Here is a 26582-nt window from a genome sequence, read left to right on the forward strand (position 1 = left end):
ATAGTTAATTTCACTAGCTATAGAATTCTGGGTTGACCGTTCTTTTCTTTCAGCATTTAAAAAATATTGTGCCCCTTCCTTCCGGCTTTCATATTTCTAATAAGAAATCTGTCATCTACATGGTTTTCCCCTTTAGGTGTTATTTTTCTCTGGCTGCTTTCAAGGGATTTGTCTTAGTTTTCAGAAATTTTCTTATGATATGTTTTGATATGGATTTCTTTGATTTCATCTTTATGGTTTTTTTTTCAGCTTCTTGAATCTGTTGTAGGTTTATGTCTTTTGCCAAATTTGGGTAGTTTTCAGCTATTATTTATTTCCTCAAATGCTTTTTCAGGCCCATTCTATTTCTCCCCTTTCTGAGACTCTGATGACACAAATGTTAGAGCTTTTAACCATAGTCCCACAGGTCTCTGTGATTGTGTTCATTTCTTTGCTCAGTCTATTTTCTCTCTGTTGTTCAGACTGGGTAATTTGTATTGTTCTGTATTCAAGTTTAATGATTCATTTCTCTATCCTTTTCATTTTGCTTTTGAGGCCATCCAGTGAGTTTTTATTTCAATTATTACATTTCCATTTAGCTATCCTTTATGTTTTCAACTTCTTTATTGACACTTTCTATGTTTTCCAAGAGTGTTTATTAATTTTTGTGAAAAGAGTTTTATCATGACTGCTTTAAAATCCTTCTAGCATCTGTGTCATTTCAGTGTTGGCATCTGTTGATTTTTTTGTCATTCAATTTGAGATTTTCCTGGTTCTTTGTAAAATGAGCAATGTTTTCTTGACATCTAGGAGTTTAGAGCTTTATATTACAATACCACGGTTTTTATTTTTTTAATTTTTTATAAGTTCAACTTTTATTTTAGATTTAGGTGGTACACATGCAGGTTTGTTCCATGGGTACATTGCATAATGCTGAGGTTTTGGATACAAATGATCCTGTTACCCAGGTACTGAGCATAGTACCCAATAGGTAGCTTTTCAACCCTTTCCCCCTCCCTTTCTCCTCCTTCTAGTAGTCCCCAGTGTCTATTGTTCTCATCTATGTCTATGTGTAGCCAATGTTTAGCTCCCACTTATAAGTGGGAACATGTGGTATTTGGTTTTCTGTTTCTGTGTTAACTTCCTTAGGATGATGGCCTCCAGCTGCATCAATGTTGTTGCAAAGGACATGATTTTATTCCTTGTTATTGTTGTGTAGTATTCCATGGTGTATATATATACCATATTTTCTTTCTCAGATCCATTGTTGATGGGCACCTAAGTTGATTCTATGTCTTTGCTATCGTAAATAGTGCTGCAATGAACATGAGTTCATGAGTCTCTTTGGTAGAACAATTTATTTTCTTTTGGATATATACCCAGTAATTGGATTGCTGGGTCAAATTGTTGTTCTGTTTTAAGTTCTTTCAGAAATCTCCACACCATGTTCTATAGTGGCTGGAACTCATACACATTTCCACCTACAGTGTAAAAGCATTCCCTTTTCTCCACAGATACTATGGTGTTTATTTAAACCTTGTATTTCAGCAGGCCTCCTCTGCCATCATACCAGCAAGGGAAGGTGGATATCTCCTCACTAGTGCCCAATGAGGGTTGAAGTCCAGGTTCTCCACTTGGCCTCCACTGACGTTCTAGCAGGGGAGAGGAGACTCATCCCTTCTGTTCCCCAGGTATCTCCACTGACCCTATGGTAGGGAGTCCTTGCTACTCTTGCCAGATGGTGGTAAAAGTCCTAGCTACCCTTTTGGCCATCTACAACAACAATGGTAGATAGGGCAGATGAGTGGTGGCTTGCAACCACCACTGCACAGCCACAATGTGGCTACAATTTTCACATAAATAAGAAATTAGTTTGACAAAGATATGCCATATGACAAATGTTATACAAGATGCTGAGAATGAAAGATTAGTTTCACATACTTCTCAAAACTATGAGCTGTGACAGACTTCTAAGGTTGCCACCAAACTGTCAGTCCTTGCAAGAGAAACTTGTCCTGCCTGAATGGATAATTTATCTGCAACTTCTTTCTTTTATTTATTTTGGAGACGCTAAACTCTGAAGAGAGAGAGACCCATAAATTAATATTTCAAAACACTTGGAGAATTCTAATGCTAAGGAAGCCATTGCAATCAATAATCAGAATAGGAATTTACCCAAGATTAAATTCATTTTATTGAACAGCTTGATAGAAACTTTAAAATAACTACATTATGTATGTTAAGGAGATAAACAAAGGCATAATTGCCGTCTTAAAAAGGATATAATGTCTTGAAACAACAACAACAAAAGAAATAAAGCAAAATCAAGTGGGTCAATTGATTCCAAGAATCAATTAGATAATTTGAACATCAAACATACATTAATCATTGAAATTTTAAAACTACACTAGAAGGGGCAACTTCTAATCTGAATTCTGAAAAAAAAAAACTAATTAGTAAATTGGGAAAATAATACTGAACCGCTCATGCAGAATGCAGTATAGAAACTCAAAAAGAAAAAATATTGAAGAGAAGTTAAGAGAATGGGATACAGATCAAGAATTCTAAATACCAAATATTTCATAGAAATTACAGAAGCAGAGAATGGAAAGAATGGTAGAAGGTGACATTTGAAGAATTAATTGCTAATAATATTTCAAAATTTATTAAAGTATAAATTTAATTTTTTTTTTAAATGATGGAGTCTCACTCTGTTGCCTAGGCTGGAGTGTGGTGGCATGATCATGGCTCACTGTAGCCTCAAACTCCTGGGCTCAAGTAATCCTCCTGCCTCAGCCTCCAGAGTAGCTGGGACTACAGGCATGCACCACTATGCCCAGCTAATTTTTCTTTTTTTTTTAGAGATGGGGTCTCACTATGTAGCCCAAGCTGGTCTTGAACTCCTAGCCTCAAGCTGTGCTCCTGCCTCAGCCTCCTGAGTAGCTGGGATTACAGGTATGAGCTACTACACCCTACTAAAACATGAATTTTAGATCACAAATTTGCTTCAAGACTGAAGCAAGAAATAAAAATAAATTAAAATAAAATAAACCCTTACGTGGTCACATAACGAAAATGTATTAAAATGCATCAAGAATAAAGAGAAAAATCACAAAAGCTAGCAAAGGAAAAGAAAAACATTGATAGATAAATTTCTCACAGATAACAAAGGCCAGAAGACAATGGAGTGGTATCTTGTAAGTGTTGCATGACAATAATAGTCAATCTAGAATCTTTTACCTAATCATAATATTATTTAATCTTTAAAGCAAAATCTTATGCAAAGAGTAAAACACTACATAATAAATGCTCACTAAAAGAAATCTTAAATAATGTTTTAAAAGACATAACAGTGACCACAAATTTTTTTAAAATTGTACGTAGTTTTGAGCAGGTAGCACATTATGTTAATTATGTCTGGCCTAAAACTCTCCTTACATGTTTAAGGTCAGCCTAAAGGTTTCTCCATACATAACGAACTCTAACCCAACCTGATGTGTAAACAGACTGTAATCTACTCTTGAAAAGAGTAGCTGAGCTCAGCCTATCACAGCAGCTGAACTTCAGTCAACCACAGGCAGCCAACTGTTTAAACCAGGTTCACATAAGGCAAACACCTAGCTGTAACCAATCCAGCTGTTTCTGTACCTCACTTCCATTTTCTTTATGTTTTTGTCCATAAACACTATCCGACCATGTGGCAGCCCTGGAGTCACTCTGAACTGATTCTGGTTCTGAGGGCTGCCCAATTTATGAGTCATTCTTTGCTAGTTAAACTTTGTTAAATTTGTCTAAAGTTTTCTTTTAACACATTCATATGGTGACAAATGCTAAAAGCTTACAGAGTATACCATTAGTAGTCTTGCTCCCACCACTATACATCTGGTTCTGCTTCCCAAGACATCAGCGTTGCCAGTTTCTTTATCTTTCCAAGCACAGGTATTTCATACATAAGATTTCATACATATGCAGATTAAGTATCCCTTATCTGAAATGCTTGGGGCTAGAAATGTTTAGAATTTCAGATTTTTTTGAATTTTAGAATATTTACATGTAGATAAAATGAGATATCTTGGGGATGGGATGCAAGTCTAAACACAAAATTTATTTATGTTTCATATACACTTTATATACCTAGCCTGAAAGTAATTTTATACAATACATTTAATAATTTTGTGCATGAAACAAAATTTTGATGGTAATTTTACTGAGACCCATGATATAAGGTCAAATGTAAAATTTTTCACTTGTGTCATCATGTCAGTGCTCAAAAAGTTTCAAATTTTGGGGGATTTCAAATTTTGTATTTTTTAATTAGAGATGCTTTACCTGTATTTGAATACATAGAGATATTTTGTGCAAATGATAGTATACTATATGTTCTTTTCTACATTTTGCTTTTTCACTTAAATATATGACATGAGAAAGACAGGAAGTAATATTCACACCAAATTTTTCTTGCAATTATTTCTACATATAGTAGAGACTACAAAATTGGAAGCTACTCTACCTAACCTAAATGATCTTGAAAATTACTTCTACTCCTGCCTATTTCCCAACTAACTGTTTTTCACAAAGGGCTCTTTATGTTCAAAAGGCCTTGTCCACAGGTAAAAACTAATTATTAGGTGATGTCATAATTACAGGTAATCATAGCTTGTCTATTTTATATAGTCATTTTAAAAACAACAACAGAAATCTCCCTTTGACACTATTACCAAGATAATGGAATAATATCTAGTGGTTAATAATATCTAGAGGTTAAAGTGGTAAAGAAAGCCTGAAATATTTGAAGGAGAGAGCTTTAGTTTTTTTGAAATGAGTCGGAAAACAATATTATCTTCCACTATAAAAGTAAAGTGGCTTTGCTTCAAAAATGGATATTATTCCTGTCTCTGTCCCTTTAATGTCGTTGTAACAGAATACCTGAGACTGCATAGTTTACAAAGATACAATGTTTATTTAGCTCGTGATTCAGCAGTCTGGGAACTTCAAGAGCAAAGCACCACATCTGGCCAGCTTCTGGTGAGGGCCACATGCTAGGTCAAAACATGGAAAAGCGGAGAAGCAAGTGGGCATGTACAGAGATCACATGGTGAGAGAGGAAGTGAGAGAGATTCTAGCCAGCCAAACTCACTTTTTTAAAAAAGAGATGAGGTCTCACTGTGTTGCCCAGGCTAGAGTGCAGTAGCTACCCACAGGCACGATCATATCACACTACATCTTCTTACTCCTGAGCTCAAAAGATCCTCCCACTTCAGCCTCCCAAATAGCTTGGACTACAGGTGTGTGCCACTCCACTGGGCTCCAAACTCACTTTTATAACAACCCACTGTCACAGTAGCTAATCTAGTCCTGTGAGAATAACCCACTCACATCCATGGGAGGACACTAATCTATTCATGAGGAATCCACCTGCGTGACCCAAACACCTCCCATGAGGCCCTACTTCCCCATACCACCACATTGGGATCAAAGTTTTAGAGGGGACACACTCAAACTATAGCAATCCTTTTAAAAATCTAGAAATTTCATTGCAGGCAATTTCATAACAAACTGGTTTGTTGAAGCATCTCAGGGTTGGTTTTATTTTATTTTTTGAAGTTTTCTCCTTTTCTTTTTCTGCCTCTTCAGAATGTCCAGGGGCCAATTTAACATATGATGCACATTGCTTGCCTTAGCTGAAGATTTCTAGTACACTTTATAAAGAATTCTCGTGGGAACCTAGAAGACTTGAAAACTCTAATGTCAGTAAGTCTAATTTCATTGTTTTGACACTAATTTAATCTTTTCTCTTGGCTGCATGTGTCTGTAGAGCCTTCAGAACAAAGGGTTTTTAACATTGCTTTATTCTTGGTGGTAAAACTTTGGAGAACAAGCCTATTGAGGATATTATCTGCCAACAGTAAGCCACAATCTTCCTCAGTAAGTTATATCCAGAGACTGAGTTGGCCAAGGAGATCCTGGAGAATTTGGAGTATACCTTTGTTAAAGGTATACATTTCCCCACTGAACAGACCAATATCAAGTTCCAAAATTGAGTCAGTAATAAAAACCCTACCAATCAAAAAAAAAAAGAAACTACCCAGACCAAATGGATTCATAATAGAATTCTTCCAGATGTACAAAGAAAAGCTGATACCAAGACTGCTGAAACTATTTTGAAAAATCAAGGAGAGATTCCTCTCTAACTCATTCCATGAAGCCAGCATCACCCTGATACCAAAACCTGGCAAATACACAACAAAAAAAGGAGACTAGAGCCAATATCCCTGATGAACATAGATGCAAAAATTCTCAATAAAATACTAGTAAACCGAATTCAGCACCACATCAAAAAGTAAATTCAACATGATCAAGTAGGCACCATTTCTGGGATACAAAGTTGGTTCTATATATTCAAATAAATAAATGGGATTCACCACAAAAACAGAATTAAAAACAAAAACCATATGAGCATCTCCATAGATGCAGAAAAGGTTTTTGATACAATCCAACATCCCTTGGTGATTAAAAAACCTCAAGAAACTAGGCATCAAAGGAGCAAACTTCAAAATAGTAAGAGCCATCTAGACAACCTCGTAGCCAACATCATACTAAATAGACAAAAACAGAAAACCTTCTCTTTGAAAACCAAAGCAAGAGAAGGATACCCACTCTTACCACTTCTATTCAACATAGTACTGGAAGTGCTAGCCAAAGCAATCAGGCAAGAGAAAGAAATACAAGGCATCCAAATAGGAAAAGAAGTTGAACTATCTCTCTTCACGGATGATATGATTCTATACCTAGCAAACCCTGAAGACTCTGCTAAAAGTCACCTGGAGCTAATAAATGACTTCAGTAAAGTTTCAGGATACAAAATCAACGTACAAAAATCAGTAGCATTTCTATACACCAATAACATTCAAGCTGAAAGAGAAATCAAGAATGCAATCCCATTTACAAGAGCCACACACACACAAAAATAAAAAATCATAGGGATATATCTAAATAAGTAGGTCAAAGCACTCTACAAGGAGAACTACAAAACACTGCTAAAAAATTTTACAGATGTCACAAACAAATGGGAAAAATTCCATGCTCATGGATTAGAAGAATCAATATTATTAAAATGGCCATACTTTCCAAAGCACTCTACAGATTGAACACTATTCCTATCAGACTACCAATGTCATTTTTTACAGAATGGGAAAGAAACTATTCTAAAAGTCATACGGAACCAAAAAAGCATCCAAATAGCCAAAGCAATCCTAAGCAAAAAGAATAAAGCTGAAGACATCATATTACCTGACTTCAAACTACATTAGAAGGCTACAGTAACCAAAATAGCATGGTACTTGTACAAAAACAAACAAATAAACGGATGGAACAAAATAGAGAACTTAGAAATAAAGCTGCACACCTACAACTATCTGATCTTTGACAAAATTGACGAATATAAACAATGGAGAAAGCTCTCCCTATTCAATAAATGGTGCTGGGATAGCTGCCTAGTCATGTGCAGAAGAATGAAATTGGACCCCTACCTTTCACCAAACACAAAAATTAACTCAAGGTGGGATTAAGCCTACAATTGATCTTTGACTAATAGGAGTTTTAAGTGTGTTAAAAATCTATACTGGACAGTGTCAAGAAATTACCAGAGAAAGAGAAGCTTATGAGCTCGCCAAACAAGGATTTCATGGTAGATTTTCTCTCTCTCAAATGAACTTAAAGGAACAAATGACAGTTAAAGTTTGAATGGAAGAGCCTGCCATTGTTCCACATCTTGTTGTTGCTGTTTACATTCCTTTGTGGAGCCTACATCTTCCTAAGTTTTCTAGCAAGTATATGTTGAACACTTCTGTTTTACGGTTAAGACAGAGTCAGAGGCCATGGATACTGACAACTGATAACTGTCTGTTTTTTTCTGTCTTTTTCCATGACTCTTATCTACTGCTTCATCTTGATTTATAACAAAACCTGAAAAACCTACAAAAATAAGTTTATCTAGAAAAATATGGAAAATATTGTGTTATTGTTGGTGAAGAAAAACAATTTTGTATAGTTTATTTCAATCTAAATAAAATGTGAACTTTGTTTAAAAAAAAAAAAAGATGAGATTAAAGATTTCAATGTAAGACCTCAAACTATAAGAATCCTAAAAAAAAACATCTAGAAAACCACCATTCTGGACATGGGCCTTGGGAAATAATTTATAATTAGGTCCTCAAAAGCAACTACAACAAAAACAAAAATTGATAGGTGGGACATAATTAAACTAAAGAGTTTCTGCACAGCAAAATAAACTATCATTAGAGTAAAAAGACAAACTACAGAATGGGAGAAAATGTTCGTAAGCTATGCATCTGACAAAGGTCTAATATGCAGAATCTATAAGGAACTTAAACAATTGAATGAGCAAAAACACATAACCGTATTAAAAAGTGGGCCAAAGACATGAAACATTTCTCAAAAGAAAACATAGAAGCAGCCAACAACATATGAAAAAAATCCTACACGTGATTAATCATCAGAGAAGTGCAAATCAAAACCACAATGAGATTATCATCTCATACCAGTCAGAATGGCTATTATTAAAAAGTCAAAAAACAACAGATGTTGGTGAGCCTATGGAGAAAAACGGAACAATTATACACTGTTGGGGGGAATGTAAATTACTTCAGCCACTGTGGAAAGCAGTTTGGAGAGTTCTCATAACACTTAAACGGAACTACCATTTGACCCAGCAGTCCTGTTACTAAGTATATATCCAAAAAAAAAAAACCAAATCATTCTACCAAAAATCACATACATTTGTATGTTCATTGCAGCACTATTCGCAAGAGCAAAGACATGAAATCAACCTAGGTGCCCATCAATGATGGATTAGATAAAGAAAATGTGGTACATACGTACCATGGAATACTACAGTGCTATGCAAAAGAATGAGATAATGTACCTTGCAGCAACACAATGCAGTTGGAGGCCATTATCCTAAGTGAATTAACACAGGAACAGAAAACCAAATACCACATATCTCACTTATAACTGGGAGCTAAACATTGGATACTCATGGACATAAGGATGACAACAATAGAAACTGGGGACTGCTATTTGGAGAAGGGGACGGGGCACAAAGGTTGAAAAACTGACTATTGGGTACTATGATCAGTACCTAGGTGATGGAATCATTTGTACCCCAAACCTCAGCATCATGCAATATACCTAGGTAATGTATTCTTGAATCTAAAATAAAAGTTGGAAATAATTAATCAATTAATTAAAATTAATGTTTTAAAAAGCAAATCAGGAGACCAAAAAAAAAAAGATATGTTTCCTCTATTGTTTGCCCAAAATAATGTCTGAAATGAAAAAAAAAAAAAGGTATCCGTAACTATCAGTGGCAGAACTGAAGGAAGCAACATCAAATCAATAATGATTTTTGAAACCTAAATGGTCTCCAACCACCTGGAGATGTCAAATTGCTTTAACCTCTCATGCAGTGGCTCTCTAGAGTGCTGTGTTGAAAATGATCCTGAAGCTGCATGCATGCTGCATGGAAAAGTGTGTGATTATTCATAAGCAATGTCTGCCAGGAACAAAGAGAGAGGAATAGTAGCTTATATGTCATTAAGTTACTACTCCTGTGCTAGGGGTTCAATTTTAGCAACAACTACTAAAGACACTTATTATGCTGGAAACTTTCGATCTGGAAATGTAATGTTTAGTAGCTCCAAATAAACATACACCAATCAGAAGAAAGCAGGAAATTTGCTCATTTGAATGGATAGATGTGTATAGGGTAACATCCCTGTAATGCTGGTTTTTTAAAATGAATATTGTTGTTCATAATTAATGCTTGATCAATTAAAGAATGAGCTGAATGAGCAAAAATAAACTCATAATACCAGAGTGCATGTGGCAGGCTACTGATTGACCTCCAAATTCTGTTTCCCCTTCTATAATAACAGAATTTCAGCTAGGCAAGAAAACACTCAACTATGCTTTTCACAACATCCCTTGTGACTAGTTGTGGTAATAACTAATTCCATTTCTTTCCAGTGGAATGTGAATGAAAATGATATGTGCAAATTTTATCTTACTTGCTTCAAAGAGAATAACTTGTCCTTTACTTATCTTTCCCTTTACATGGGCTGGAATGTCAAATGTGGCAGTGACTTTGCTTCAAATCTGCAATCAAGAGCAACATCCCAGAAGGTGTTAATTCATTTCATTATTTAATTAATTAATATAAATGAGCCAGGCCTAAGGCCCTGAATGAATGCACGGAGCAGAGCTGCTCTGGCAGCTTGGACCATTCTCCTCTGGACTATTATTTTAGATAAAAATAAATTTTTACCTTGTTTAAGCATCTATATCTTTGGGTATCTTTTTATTCCAGGAGCTTTCACCCAAAGCCTAACTAGAGTAGTAATCAACAGGCAGTAGGATGTGTAAGCAAAGAGTCAGGAAAATGGTGACAGAGAAGTCTAGTGTATCAGTCCGTTCTCACCTGGCTATAAAGAAATACCTGAGACTGGGTAATTTATAAAGGAAATGGGTTTAATTGACTCACAGTTTCCCATGGCTGGGGAGGCCTCAGGAAACTTACAATCATAGCGGAAAGGGAAGCAAACATGTCTTTCTTTACATGGCGGCAGGAGAGGGAGTGAGTGCCCAGCAAAGGAGGAAGCCCCTTATAAAACCACCAGATCTCATGACAACTCACTCACTATTATGAGAATAGGGTGGGGAAAACTGAGCCCATGATTCAATTATCTCCATCTGGTCCCTCCCATGATACATGGGGATTATGGGAACTACAATTCAAGATGAGATTTGGGTGGGGACACAGCCAAACCATATTATCTAGCATACCTAACAAGGTCCCTATGTGGCTAGTGGGATTCTGGAGCATAAGGCAAAGCCCTGCATGCTCTTGAAGGGTAAAAGGACTTGAGCTCTGAGTAATGTTGAGCACAACACACCTAACTAAATCAGTACATTCAGCCAAGAGGACAACAAGTAGAACCAGGTTGGGCATGGTGGCTCATGCCTCTAATCCCAAACCTCTGGGAAGCAGAGGAGGGAAGATCGCAGGAGCCCAGGAGTTTGAGGCTGCAGTAAGCTGTGATTGCACCACTGCACTCCAGCCTGGGTGACAGAGCGAGACCCTGTTGGAAAAAGAGAAAACAGAGGGGCCAGTTACTTAGTCAGAGTAGGATAAGCAGGGAGGCTGACTTGATGCTAAGCTCTCTAAATTGCTTTTATTAGTAATTCTCCCCTGCTTAAGAGTTCAGTTGGTCTCAGAGATTGGGCATGAATGAGGCTATAGATGGGAGTTAAGACATCCCATTTGTGAAGGTTGCAGGATCTTGTGTCACTATTTGAATTCTTGTAAAATTCCCATTTTTGTTCATATCCTTGTATCCTGCTACCTTACCCACCAGCCACCTCTACTGGGCCTGCTCTGAGACCTCCAGTTCAAATATCCTTCCCAGTCTCAGGGCCTTCTGAGCTTAGATGGACCCTTGGTTAGCCAAAGCAAAGATTCTTTGGGTGACACCATGCATTTTCTTTCCCTTATTATCCACTTGAGGTAAAAATGATCTATAATGAATTTTAAATTGAAAATGTATTTGTTGGCCACTTATTTATTTGCAAATCTACTTCTCCTATCCTATTCTATTCCTCTCAATGACATCATCCATTCCAGATTCTTCTCTTCCACCCCACCCACCATAACCCTTTAAGAAATACCTCCTGGACCATCCTCTCTGACACTGTCTAGACAGGCCTCCTAAGAACTTCTTAACTTATCTTCCTTGTTCAAATCTCTCCTTCTTCCAGCCTAAGCTATACCTGCCAGATTATTCTTCATAAAATACAGATTTGATCGTATTTCTTCTTCCCACCCCTCCAAAATAAACCTCACGTAACTATCCATTTCTTCAGAAGATTATAACCAAAGTTTTTAATCTTTTCAAAGTTTAAACCCCCTTGAAAGCCCAAAGTTTAAAAACCCTCTACAGATCCTCCCAGCTTTGGCTTCCACCATTTTTTCACAGGATCAACACAAAGGCCCAGTGTAAGCCAGTTCTCCTGATTTTAGACCCCAAACTGTGAGAAAATGAGTTTGGTGTTAGTCTCACCCTGAACTTCATGGTCTGACCTTTGGGAAAGTTCACTGTAAGTCTACCGCCTAAGCCTTCATATTTTATAGAAAATCTTGCTTTTGTGAGACACAAAATTGTGAGAAATAATGACAGAGATTTCTACCTTTTATTGTATTAGTCAATGTGCCCACAGTCTGTGAAGAATTTGGACTTTCAATAATATTCTCCCTGTATCACTGTACAAAGTTATTTTCCCTAGGCTTTAGGGGAGGATGACTTTTATTTACTATTTTCAGTGTGAAAGTGTGTTATGATCATATTCTGCCATGTTGACTGTATGGTGCATTATTTTCAGGTTACCCTCTCTGTCTATCAACTTTCCTTATCTTTGTGGCTCCTAATCTTTGTAACCAGCTTCCATCAACAAAGTCAAGCTGCAGAAAATAAACTACAGATAAGGCTCACTGACGTGGTAATGGGGTTTTCACTGCTTCCCTTTAATTTTCTATTTCAATAATTCTTGCTGCCAGAAATTTCCTTTTGATGCTCAAGTCAGAAAATCCTTTGATGAAAACAGCAACTTACCACATTAAAATATAAAAGCTAGCAACTTCTTAGTACCTCATTTATTCTTTTGGACTTTACTGCCTTTCACGTATCAGTGATTTTTTTTTTATCTTTCAGTTACTCTTCACATGTATATAGTTAAGGTGTATTATTTCTATTATTTGTGCTTGATCAACAACTTACTTCACTGAATTGTTTTGAGAGCTCATTAAGATTTTCTTTATCTTATCCTATCATAAAGACCCTACAAATTAAATCCATTGCATATGCAGCATAGCACTTCTTGTTCTTATTAACAGCTTTAATGCATTTGTTAAAATTTTATCTTACATGTCCATCTACTCTCATTCCTGTGTCACCTTTACTTTCTTAGATGGCTGAGGATTGAGATAAGTGTGGAATTGCTAAGGCATTGTGTTTATTGCAATCTTACAGGGCCACTTTGTTCTACTGAATTATATTGAAAGTTGCTTCCTATAAGATACAGCCAAGGGAATCACACCACGCCATGTTACTTCTCCTCCAAGTTCACCTGTTCTAAGTCTCCCTAGCAACCTAACAAGAAGCCCCTTGATACACCTGAAATCCAATATGCCCCTCACTGAACTTCCCATTCTCTTTCGTTACACATCTGCTCCAACTCTTACTCCTACCATTATCACCCTAATCTGTGGTCTTCAAAATAAAAGCAATCCTTGCCAAGTGCAGTGGCTCATGCCTGTAATCCCAGCACTTTGGGAGGCTGAGGTGGGTGGATCACTTGAGGCCAGGAGTTCGAGACCAGCCTGGCCAGCATGGTGAAAAACCTCATCTCTACTAAATACACAAAAATTAGCCAGGCATGATGTCACGCGCCTGTAGTTCCAAATACTTGGGAGGCTGAGGCACGAGAATCCCTTGAACCTAGGAAACAGAGGTTACAGTGAGCCAAGATCACACTGCTACACTCCAGCCTGGGTGACAGAGCCAGACTTTGTCTCAAAAACAAACAAAACAAACAAACAAACAAAAAAAACCGGCAAACTTTAGACAAGCATTCAAGCCCATCTTCAATCTGGTTACACTTATACTTCTAGTCTTATTTCCCATCCGTCCCTTTATGTGTCATACATTCTAGCCAAACCAAACGATTGGTTATTCTTCCTTCACATACATTCGTTAGCTCTATTCCCTTGTTGCACCTTCAGAAAATAATTATATTCTCTTGCCCCCATTTTTTAATGTCCAAATCCTATTCATCTTTTAAAGCTAAATTCAAACCCCTCATCTGAAACGCTGCATTTTATAATCCTAAATGTACTCTCCTTCAAACTGCCATGGCATTTGTCTATATTTCTTACATGTATGCCACATTCTTTAACTTTGGTGATTTATGGATGTACATTCTTTCTCTTACGGGACTGCAACTTCTTGAGGGCCTAATCCATTTTCTTATGAAATCATCTTTTTCTCATTCTCCACAATGACTGGCAAGTATCTTACACAGAAAAGGGAAGCACTTTCATTGTTGCATTTTCCTAATTACTTCATGTTTTAGCACTCTAGAGGTTTATATTATTTTAGGCCACTTTATAGGTGAGTAAATGTATCATCAGAAAAGTGACTTGCCCTTGGATGTGGTCAATAATATTTAAATGATTGAATGCATGTTTGAGAAATAGACCACTATACATGAGATTTGGAGGGGTTTTATACTATGTAAAAGATATGCCTCATCAGCTGAGAAAATTCACAAGCACAACTGAGATACAGTTCTGTTCTTGTCTTGTCTTTGTGAACTGCTTCCATAAAGTGGGTAAATGAAACTAGCATGCTCACCTATGATTTGCTCCTGTGATGAGACAGGTATCACAAAACACCTGCTGAATTGGTAGGGATAAAGAGAGGCATACGCTTACATATGCAACCAGGTTGGCAGTGATGGTTAGGCATTATTCTTTTGGGGTAAGCACTTTGACTCAGCTATCAGTTAAGAAAGGAGGCGACCGCTCTTTTTTGCTGGAAAAATGAATGTGTCTTCCTAGTGTGACTTAGGTATTTTCCTGATGATTGCAGATGGGTGAACTGACTGATAGCATGGCTTGAGTTCAAATTGATGAATGGGAAATTGATGTTCATGGTCACGCTCAGCTTTCTGATTGTAGATGCCAAACAGGAAAGTTTCTCAGCCTTTACATTTTAAAAAGCAGTACTCACAGTGAGGGAAGAAAGGAAGGGGGCCATTACCTGGCAATGGAAAATGCTCCCTTAGACTCTTCCTAGCTATCTCAGTGAGGAGTGTGACTGGGAAATGGCACATCCTTCTCCTCAAACTATAAAGATTTGTCCATGAGCTCATCTAATCCAATGTCATCATTTTACTATTGGAGAAACTAAGGTGATGTGACTTGCCCAAGATTACGACAAATACATTGGTCAGGGCTCCAATGTTGCTTCCAAAGCATAGAGTGGAAGAAAGTTGAAGAAGCTTCTATGTTGATTATAAGAGGAAGAATAGAACCTCATTCAAGCCAAAACCCAGTGTCAGGGATACTTAACATCTCTTCTAGGGAAAATGGCATGGGTTGTGAACAAAGACATACAATATATTTTCTAATTCTGCCATTCACTAGCTGTTTGCCCTTAAGCAAAGAGGCTTCCTCATTTGTAAGAAGTGATTTTTGTAATTACTTTCTTTACAGGGTTGTACTAAGGATTGCAAAAGATAAGCCATTTAGACAAGGCCTGGCACATGGTAAGAGATCAATAAAAGTTGATGCTAGCTTCAATTAGTTTAATGTTGAAATTCAAAAAAATAAAATTAAGAAATTGAAAGGAAAAAGAAAGCCAAGAAATGTCTATTTCAAACAGTAGAGGTCTATAAAGACAATCTGAATCATATCCAGTTTCTTGGACAGGTAACAGAGGATCTAAAGGAATCAATATAATTTTTCATTAAATGTTTAAGACATATGGAAAATCTAAGCCTGGCCTTTTTCTCTTTACCCAGAGAACACTCTAGCCACAATAAAACTTGGAGCATGATCAATCTAGTATCTTCAATAGGGTTTCTGGTGTGTGCATACTTTCACATAACTTGGTCTGAAGGTCTCTCGCTGGAGTCTCTCACCACCTTTGTCTAATGGGCAGCAGCTGCCTGGAAACAATCTTTCCATATTACTCACCTTATCACACCACAATAAAACATCTCTCCTCATTCTACCCTGGGATGACTATCTGTCCTTCTTGCTATTTGTAATGTTGACAGTCCGTTTTAGGATAGTTTTTTCTACACCAGGTGGTTCTGCCTTTTTAGCGTTTTCCACTGAATAGCTAATTTCTCCCTGAGTTTATCTGAATTTTACTTTGTTTCTTTATGAACAACACATTTGAATGTTCTACTCTCTCGGACTCCTACTTGGCAGCAATAATGAAAAGAAGCTGTCTGCCCTGGGAATTGGCATAGAGATAGTGGTGTCATCATTGATGGTTCAAAGCTTGTCATACCCATCTAGATGAACCTGCTCCTTTTGTTGTTTTATAGCCAGGTTTCTGATTCAAGCTCCAAGTGAATTTTTGTACCAACAGGGTACTATTTTTTTTATACCATTCTCCTATTGGATAGACTTTACTGGATGTAGCGGAAAGGAGGTCAATAATATGGGTTTAGTCATTGTATCTTTAATTTTCTGAAAGTTCAGCCTTATACCATACCATATCTATCTATCTATCTATCTATCTATCTATCTATCTTTCTTTCTTTCTTTTTATTTCTGTACCTCTTTCCAACTCCTAAAGTTTCAGAGTGATGTTAATAAATTTCTGAGCCAATCTGATAAAGAAATAATTAATACTAAAAGAAAATATCGAGAGAAATGGCAAAAGTAATTATAAAAAGATCCCAATATCTGATATCCTTGTGGCTCTAATCTTAATATATTTTCCTAGATATTTGCTACCCACTGTTGGAATTTAAGGTAGAAATGATGTTATCAAAAGTATTGACTCATGGATATTTTTTCTTCTTCTCTACAAATTGGAGATTGAAGTATAACAAAATAAAAGCATAGACTTTATATATATTTATATATATATTTATAATAAAATAAAAGCATACTACATAGACTCAAAGTTGTCAATCCTGGTCTCAAGCTCTGGATCTGGCCCTAACTATGTGACCCTGAAATACACATGCATACACACATGTGCATATTTTATGTGTATGGGGTGTGTGTGTATATACATGTGTGAGTGTACATACATACCTAGTATACACATGTATATATACATGTCTTTAGTCATATATAGCTTGAAAAAATATACACCAAAACTGTAATGAAGATATTTTAGGGACTAATTAGAATAATTTAAGAAATTCACACATGTAAAATCAGAAGTAATTCAACAAAGGTAAAAGCTTGTTGCATTTTAAACACTATTGAAACCCATAGCTGGATAAGGGTCTGTGTGGGAGAGACTAACTGATTATTCATCAAACCTAACTCATCTTCTTGGCCTGAAAGTCAGACTATATTTCCCAGCCTCCCTTGGAGTTAGAGGTAGTCATATGACTAAGTTGGGGCCAATAGAATGTGAATGGAGGTGAGGTGAACCATTTCCAGGCTTGGCCCATAAAAACCTCCACCATGAGTCCTTCATTCTTTTACCCCTTCCAACAAGCACAGCCAACTTGGAAATCACATGTTGTAGATCTATGAAGCCTGAGTTCTAGCATCACTGCCTGGGGAATGCTGCCTGCCAATTAGAGCACCTGTTTAGGACGCTATGAGCAAGAAATACACTTCTATTAGGTTAAGTATGAGATTTGGGAGTTTATCTGTTAAAGCAGCAGGAGTAACAGATGGTGGACTCGAGGGGCAAGTTGCCAAGCTGCTGGAAGTAGAATTAGTCTAATTTTAGTTGGGAAGAGCCCAGTGCTGACAGTTAACTATGAAAATAGGTCTGTATGAGGCTTAGCCAAAGGCTAGTTGAAACATAATCTGGTCACATTAGTAGTGCCCACAGGAACAAATTCTGAGGTTCTTAGGGGACACTTCTGACAATCCTACAGCCCAGTAAAGGTTCACCTAAACCACAGGTGAATATCTCAAAGGGTCCTGAATATCCCTTTTAAAAAGTGTTTGCTCATGGAAATGTCCACTGTGGAATGATAATCCTGTAAATTCTAAATTAGGTGGAATTTTAACACCTAGAATTATCAAGAATGGTAGGTCTCAGACTATCTTCTTTAATTTAAACTCAATTTTTTTTATATTTGTGTGAAGCCTTAATTGACCATGGACTAAAACCATGCACAGCTACTACCCAACGTTTTTACTAACATTTTAACACCATTGAGAATAAATTGAGAAAAATCTCAGACAAAAGCTTATAAAAATAAACAATTTCAAGTTTAAATAATATCCACAAGTTAGCTCGTGGTAAGTCTAAACAGAAATCTAAGATCAAAAAATACTTCTTCTCCAAAATAAACTCTCCTAGAATTTCTTTTCTGTGTTGAAGACTCTTAAATGCCATTTAATATTTTCCACCTTATTATTCCTGAATGTGTAGCCCACAGAACTTCTTTCATTAAATTTCCTAAGTAGTTTTTTTAATAATAATTCAATAACTAAGAATCTAGCTCTTTTCTTTCTCTTTGTCTAAACTCTCATATATTTTACTAATTAATGCATCATTCCCCACATCAGATTATTAGAGATTTGACCCTCTGGCAGGGTCAAGCCCATGAAAATTAAAGCTAACCCAGGGAAAAGACCTGGGGCAAAAGCTGCTGCTTTTAGCATGACTGCCTGGTTACGCTACAAAACCTGTACCAGATGCTACTCAAGTGTCACACTATCACCCAGGCACACCGTAGCAGCAATGACATGGAATTAATAATATCAGTGAAGTATGATCCATAAAACTGAGTGAATACCAAAGTTTCTATTAGTATAATAACTAATGGCATCCAAATCTGATTTGTTCACTCAAAATTGCTCCAATTGGAGGATTCCAAATTATTCTAAACATAGTTCAGTATTATTACTGCCATACATGTTCCACCTGCTAAGCCCACAACTCCAGTGAGGACTTTGGCAATAAGGCCTGTCCTGATATTGGGCATTCCTCCATCCCGCCCAATAAACACATTGCCATTACACCTTTTAGAGTTCACTGGACTTCCCAAGGTCATATGTGGAGCATGCGCTGTTTTAGTGTTCTTATGTTTTCTAAATAAATAACTATGAATACATATAAAATAATCTTTCATTTTAGTTTCCAAGAATCATTTTAGTAAGTGTTCCAAACTGTCCCACTCAAAAATGAATGTGCCTGTCCCTTGATGGAAAAAAATACCCCTTTTTCTTTAGCAAGGGACAGGGGCACTCACTTTTGACTCAGAAGATTATAATAGGTACAATTTGTCATTTGCACTGAACAACTTCTGTATAACTAGTGGCTTTTGCTTTTCTTTTTTTTTTTTTTTTAGAAAGAGTCATGCTCTGTTGCCCAGGCTAGAGTTCAATGGCGAGTTCTTGGCTCACTGCAACTTCTGCCTCCTGGGTTCAAGTGATTCTTGTGGCTCAGCCTCCCAAGTAGTGGGGACTGCAGGTGCCTGCCACCACGCCCAGCTAATTCTTGTAGTTTTGGTAGAGATGGGGTTTCACCATGATGGCCAGGCTGGTCTCGAACTCCTGGGCTCAAGCAATCCACCTGCCTTGGCCTCCCAAAGTGCTGGGATTACCTTGCCCAGCCAGCTTTTGCTTTTTCATAATGGTAATGCTTTTTAAGTAGCACCCCTAAAAGAAAAACAATTTAAGCAGTGCATGCCATAAGAAAGCATACAGAAAAGATTTCTCCTCAGCTTTCTGACTCAAAATAAATTTGCCATACAATCAGATCTCGAAACAATAGATGCTATGCACACAACATCAGTCTCTAAAACAATAGTCTTGTGAGATTAGCAAATCATTATCTCTTGCTAATATCCTTATTTGTGATTCAAGTTTTCTAAAAATTTGTTCAGATTAGGATAAAGACATCTCACTGAACTGTATGATAGTGATTAAAAACTTATAACTAAATCATATAATGTCTTACATTTACAGAGTTGATCTAGACAACTTATCACTTAATATTAGTTCCCACAGGTTTAAAATTTCTGTCTCCATAGCAAACACATTTAAATGAGCGAGACATTTTTTGCCTGCTAATTCTAAGAGTTCTTCCTTTTGTTAAATAAAAATTATTTTTAATTAATATATCTGCCAAAAATTCTTAAGTTTCATGTTAATACTACAGTTTAAATTTAATATTAATACAACCTATATTATTCTACATGTGTTCCGCTTCTGATAAGAATTAAGACTATTGTTTCCACCATAAATATCCCTTTGCAGGTCTTTGTCTACAACCTGGAATTCAGGTTGAAATCCACCAAAGGAAAGCTTTGCTGATTGTGTTCAATGGGATTCCACCAGCTTCTTTTGCCAACTCTGATTTTACAAATAAGCAAACTGACGTTCATCTTCTATTTGCTGCAGCAGTCTTACCCTTCTCAGACATGAATCCTGAATTCAGCATTAACGCTGTCCTTCTAGTCTTGAGAATTACCTGCTCATTCCCTCCTCTGAATCCTTTATCTTAAGTATCTTGACTTCCAGTGTATAGGCCAAGAGAATCAATCAGGACACAAAAGTAGGTAGGCATGTATGCTTTTAGGACGTGTGGACAACCTGCTAAGATACAAAGTTCTGACATTTCTCCATCAAACCCTGGTCACTTCTTTTAGTAAGATTAGCAGGCCGGGCACGGTGGCTCACGCCTGTAATCCCAGAACTTTGGGAGGCCGAGGTGGGCCGATTACCTGAGGTCGGGAGTTCGAGACCAGCCTGACCAACATGGAGAAAACCCGTCTCTACTAAAAATACAAAATTAGCCGGGCGTGGTGGCGCATGCCTGTAATCCCAGTTACTCAGGAGGCTGAGGCAGGAGAATTGCTTGAATCTGGGAGGTGGAGGTTGCAGTGAGCTGAGATCACGCCATTACATTCCAGCCTGGGCAAGAAGAGTGAAACTCCATCTCAAAAAAAAAAAAAAAAAAAAAAATTCAGCAAGCTGGCTAGTGCATTCCCAGCACTGGAGACAGCTGGTGTCCTCTCCACAACTTCTCCCTATGCAGTGCCCTGATGTCTGCTCTCATATGTGAGTGATACAATCAGTATTTGTCTTTTGATGGGAATATATTTCATCTTTTTAATAAACAGGCTAGCCTTGTTTTATCAAATGGAAAGAGAAAATGAACATCAAAGGAGTGGAGATGTTTAAAGTTGAGCATCCCTTAAACAGGTCCCCAAAATAAAATGGGATTCGTGATTCTTTTAAATTCAAATCAAAATGTATTCAGGCTGGGCTCAGTGGTTCATGCCTTTAATCCCAGCACTTTGGGAGGCCAAGGCAGGAGGACTTCTTGAGCCCAAGAGTTCAAGACAAGCCTGGGCAACACAGCAAGACTCCATCTCTATGAAAAATAGAAAAATTAGCCAGGTGGTGGCACATGCCTGTGGTCACAGGTTCTTGGGAAGCTGAGATGGGAGGATCGCTTGAGTACAGGCATTCAAAGTTACAGTAAGCTATGACTACACCACGGCACTCTGGCCTGGGCAACAAAATGAGAACCTGTCTCAAAAAAAAAAAAAAAGTATTCATTTGCATCTGCAATGCATAGGCTCTGTGGCACACATACAATTAATTACCCTCAAAGGTATATAATCCTGTGGAAAGTGCCTTTCCTCAGGCCCTATGTCAATCTTATCATTGACTAAAATAGAGTTGTATATGACTCCTAAATATTATATCATAATCCACCTGAATTAGTTTTCTACTGCTATGTAGCAGATTCCCGCACATTTAGCTGCTTAAAACCAGACCCTTTTATTCACTCACAGTTCTGAGGGTCAGGAGTCTAGAGACAGCAAGGCTTGGTTTTCTGCACAGGATTTTACAAGGCTGAAATCAAGGAGTCAGGCAGCTCTGATGTCATCTGGAGCTGTCTTCAAGCTCATTCACTTTGCCGGCAGAGTTCAGATCCTTGTGGTTATAGGACTGAGGTTCCCATTTTCTTGCTGGCTGTCAGCTGGGGGCAACTCTCAGCTCTTAGAGCCTGCCCTCAATCTTGGAACAAACAGTGAACCCCTTCATCTGCAAAGCCAGCAGTGGAGAATGGCCCTGGTGTCAAATCCTCTCATTCATCCAACCTCTTTTTGCCAAAAAGAGTCCCATCACTTTTAAGGGCTCAGCTGATTAGGTCAGGCCCATAGAGGATAATCTCTATTTTGAGACCAGTGGACGTGAGAACTTAGATACACCTGCAAAATCCTTTGGTAGCAGCACTCATATTAGTGATTGATGGAATAACTAGGAAATATGTGCATATACCAGGGGCCAGCAATCTTGGAGGTTATTATGGAACTCTGCCTACTACCGTGCCAGAATGCAGCTTTTAAAATAATCTCCTTCTAGAGGATTTTGCTCAGTACAAACATTTCCTAACCTGCCTCCTCTTATACTTGCATATACATATAATTTTTCTATTGCTACTGTTATAAATTCCCTCAAACTGGCGGCTTAACCATTACAAATATATTCTTACAGTTCTGTAGATGAGAAGTCTGATGCAGGTGTTACTGGGTTAAAATTGAGATGTCAACAGGGCTGTGTTCTTTTCTGAAGCATTAGGGGATAATCTCTTCCCTATTCTTTTCCAGCTTCTAAAGTCTGCCCACATTCCTTGGTCTGCTCCCATCTTCAAAGTTAAGTTAAATGGTGGACTGAGTCCTTCTCATGCTACCATCTCTCTGGTTGTCTGCACAAGGGAAATGTTCTCTACTTTTAAGGACTCAAGCGATTAAGTTGAGCCCACCTGGATAATCCAAAATAATTTCTCTGTCTCAAGATTCGTTAACTTTATCATACTACAAAGTCCCTTTTGCCATGTAAGGTAACATATTCACAAACCCAATAATCAGGGCATGAATATCTTTGGAGGTCATTAATCTGCCTACTACATATATCTTTCTAAAATAGATGACTGTTGGTGTCTGAGCTCATCTCATTTCTCCTGCTGCTCAAATCATATCTTCAAAGACTAAAGAACTGTGGCTTAGAGAGCTGTGAAATATACAACCAATGGACAGTATTTCCTGGAATAATAGATATTGAGCATTATATAATGACATGCAATCCAACTGGTACCTTGCAATAGCCAGTCAAAGATAATAAAAAGTTGTGCTTAAGAAGAAGAAAATACAATTCAACAGTCTGTGCAAGTGAAGTTCTGAACTCCAGTTTTTCCTAAAGTGTATGCCAGGGAAATTAAATTACCATGGCTATTAAAAGTTGTTACACAGGAAACCATGAGTACATACATTTGGGAAATGTCAAGTTAAGCGAAGGTAAACTGCTTCCTTCTCAGAGTCCATAATGTGCTAACATGCATTGGGTATCTATAAGAGAGCAGAATGTGTTCTTATCTGATTGAAAAAAAAAACATTTTAAAAGAGCATCTCAAACTTTAGGAAGTGCTGGAGTCTATTTATTTTTCTGCCGCATCCTTCTGCTATTGTTTTAAATTGGCCGCTCCTTCCTTTCTTCCTGGTTTGTCTCCTATCCTTTTTTCCTCCATCCTTACTTCCTACCTTCATTCTTTCTCTTCTTCTTTAACCTATAGTCATCTCATCATGTAAATGTGACTTAAAATACATAGAACAGCAAAGAAGCCTTGGCCTGGGTTAAATTAGAAATACAGAGAACTGTTGTTAAGAAGGATATTGGTGAAAAAGAAAATAAAAACGAGTTACAGAGAGAATAATGCTTATTGAAACTTGACATTTCAATTGTGAGTCCCTGATTTATCGGATACCATAAGACTAAACATTTCTTGAACAAAGGATTAGGATCTATTTCTTCCATTTTACTCCTCTTGTTCTTAACTTCACAATCTTTCCAAGTTTGTCATCTACTCAGTCCCAGTTCTTCTTTGGAGGGGCCTGACTGAGCTAATAAATATACCACTAAGTTGTAAGGAAGGTTTCTCTGTATACCATCACCAGGCAGTAAGGGATTCTGATTTACTGAGTATTCCAGATATCTTTAACCTAACCATAAAGGCTAATATTTTCTTTTCAGTTTAATAGTTGTTGGTACACTATAATATATAACATGATTTCCTCATTATTAAAGACATCTTAACTTTTCTGATATCATTTTAAAACAAAATATCATAGTATGAGCCAATTCAAATATATGTTTATGGCATATGGACAAATGTAAGGCATAATAATAAATGACTCCAAAATATCGTGTTTTTCCATTTGATCCAAGTGTCTCCTCCTTCCATCCCATTTTCTGCTCTGCCCCACTATCTGCTTTTGAGCTACCCACTCTGCTTCTATTTGATCAGGCCTCTGTTGAATATCTTCTGGATCCACTTATATACCAGACTTCTCCCCCTTCTCTACCCATGATTTCACTCTTCGATGGCCCAACTAAATCCCTACCCATTCTAATCTTCTTTTTATCTGCCACCCTATCTTTCTCTTTTCTTCAGTCATAGCTTACCATGTGTGAGATATTACACATTTATCTCATTTAGATTACACAGCAATCCCATGATTCAGGTTTATAGACTTAGATGAGGACTTAAACTTACATAGCTTAATAAGAGGTGGCATTGGGATTCAAATCCAGATAAATCAGAATCCAAAGTTAATACACAGTCTCTCCAATTATACCATTGTCTTCCTAATTGTCAAATGCACTAGCCATTTTCAATCGTCCTTCTTCAGTAGGAGTTGGAATTGTCAATCACCCTCCTCTTGAAGCAACATTCTCTTGATTGGTACAATATAATGTTTTTCATCTTCGAATTTCTCTGATTGTTTCTTATGTTTCCTTTACTGGTTTCCCAGTATAGGAAATATCTTGATATCTTGATATAATCCTCCTACCTCCCCCTAAAAGTCAGTTGTCCCCAAGTTTTTTGTCATTTCAACTATACCATTTCTTCTATAGTACTATCTTAATTTTATCATTTATTTTTGTGTTTTGCTGTCATCCCTGGAAAGGTGATGCTTCTTAAATTTTTTTCTGTCTGATGCTTATCCTTGAGATTTAACAGAAAAAAAAAAAAAGATCAGCAGGAATCACTCAGTTGTGCAAGATGCCACAATGTCTGTGGAGTGACAGCACATATATGGCAAAAACTTGGTTGCCTATGTGGATTTGAATGCTAGATGCTACAAAGTAATCTTATTTTTCTCTTTTGTGTTTAAGGCAGAGCTTACAGGGGTAGGAGGTAGATGGTACTATAAATCCCTTATTGGAGGAATGGGGCGGCTACGTCTTGATTGCCCTTTCATGTGCTTATTGGCCATTTGTATGTTTTATTTGGAAAAATAGCTATTCAGATTCTTTGCTGTCTTTTTCAATTGGGCTATCTTTCCTTTTGAGTTGAAAGAGTTCTTTATATATTCTAGCTACATGTCCCTTATCTGATATATGATTGTCAAACAGTTCCCCCCAGTCTCTGGGTTGTCATTTTGTTTTCTTGGGAGTATTCTTTGAAGTAAAAAAGTTTTAAATTTTGATGAAGTCCTATTTAAAATCAATTTTTTATTTTGCTTGTACAACAAAAACATCTTATTGTCCTATTAAATAAGACATTCTTGTTTTCTATTTTTTCTTCATAGATAATACATGAATAAAATGTTAATATTAATTATTTTATAAGCATTTTGGATACAAAATCAATAGCCATCCTATATATTGGTAAAAGTAGATAGTTATCCCAACAAAAGAACAAAAAGAACAAAAAGGAATAAATATAAAAACCCTTATGAAGAAAATTACAGTTGTCGTCCAAAAAAATCACCAGGATGGCTAAATAGTAGAAAGAAGACCTTTATTGGCAATATCAGCTTGCAAATGGGGAAGAGACAGTCTCTGGTGTGGACTAAAAGTGCTCTCTCTTCGGGGAAGGGAAGAGCAGATTGGCTTTTGTGCCTCACAAGGCCCATATTCCTCAGTAGAGTCATACATGTTCAGCAGATTTGAGGGAAAAGTTATACATAATCATGAAGGAGGTCAAGTGCATGTGCAATGGGTAAACATAAATGTAACATACAACCCACATTCACTTTGGGGTGGGGTTTTAGCATTAAACTGAGATAGAATTTGGTTATTTATGTCAAAAGATGAACTATGGGACCCAAAGACAGCTTGTGCACAGCCTCTATAATCTGGCTGAAACTGGCTTAAGGACTGCAGTTGTTTATAAAGAAAGAATATTTGTAAGGCCAGTCCTCTGTCCAAACAGAGTGGTAGTTGTCTCAGTTGTAAATTAGAGTGAGGAGGGATCTGAACTCCTATTGTTAGAGAGTTTAGTAAGAATGTGGTTTTTTCTTTGTAGCCACAGGGATTTAGGAAGTTGTCACATCACCTAAGTCCTGAACTTTCAACTAGTAGGTAACTTTTGTTTTGTTAACCTTGGGGGTCCATCTTAGTTGTTAAAGGAGTGTCTATTTTGGTCTTCAAAATACAATATTGTATTTGGTCCACACAATACAACATTAAAGCACATAAAAGAAGATACGAATAAATAAACAGTTATGCTATATTCATTAGTTGGATGACTTTGTGTCAGAAAGATATCAATTTGCCCTCAAATTAATCCATATACTCAGTTAAGTTTGAACCAAAGTTCTAATAAATATTTTGTGCACGTCAGGAACTAGATAAATAAACCAAGATTCATATGAAAGAGCAACAGACCAAGAATATTCAAGTTAATTTTGATGAAGAACTAATAGGGAGACTTGTTTTATCTGGCATCAATACTTTCTTTTGATATTTAGTAATTAAGACTATGAGATAAGTACAGACAAATTGATCA

This window comes from Homo sapiens, chromosome 8, assembly GCF_000001405.40.
Source record: "Homo sapiens chromosome 8, GRCh38.p14 Primary Assembly".
Lineage (NCBI taxonomy): Eukaryota > Metazoa > Chordata > Mammalia > Primates > Hominidae > Homo > Homo sapiens.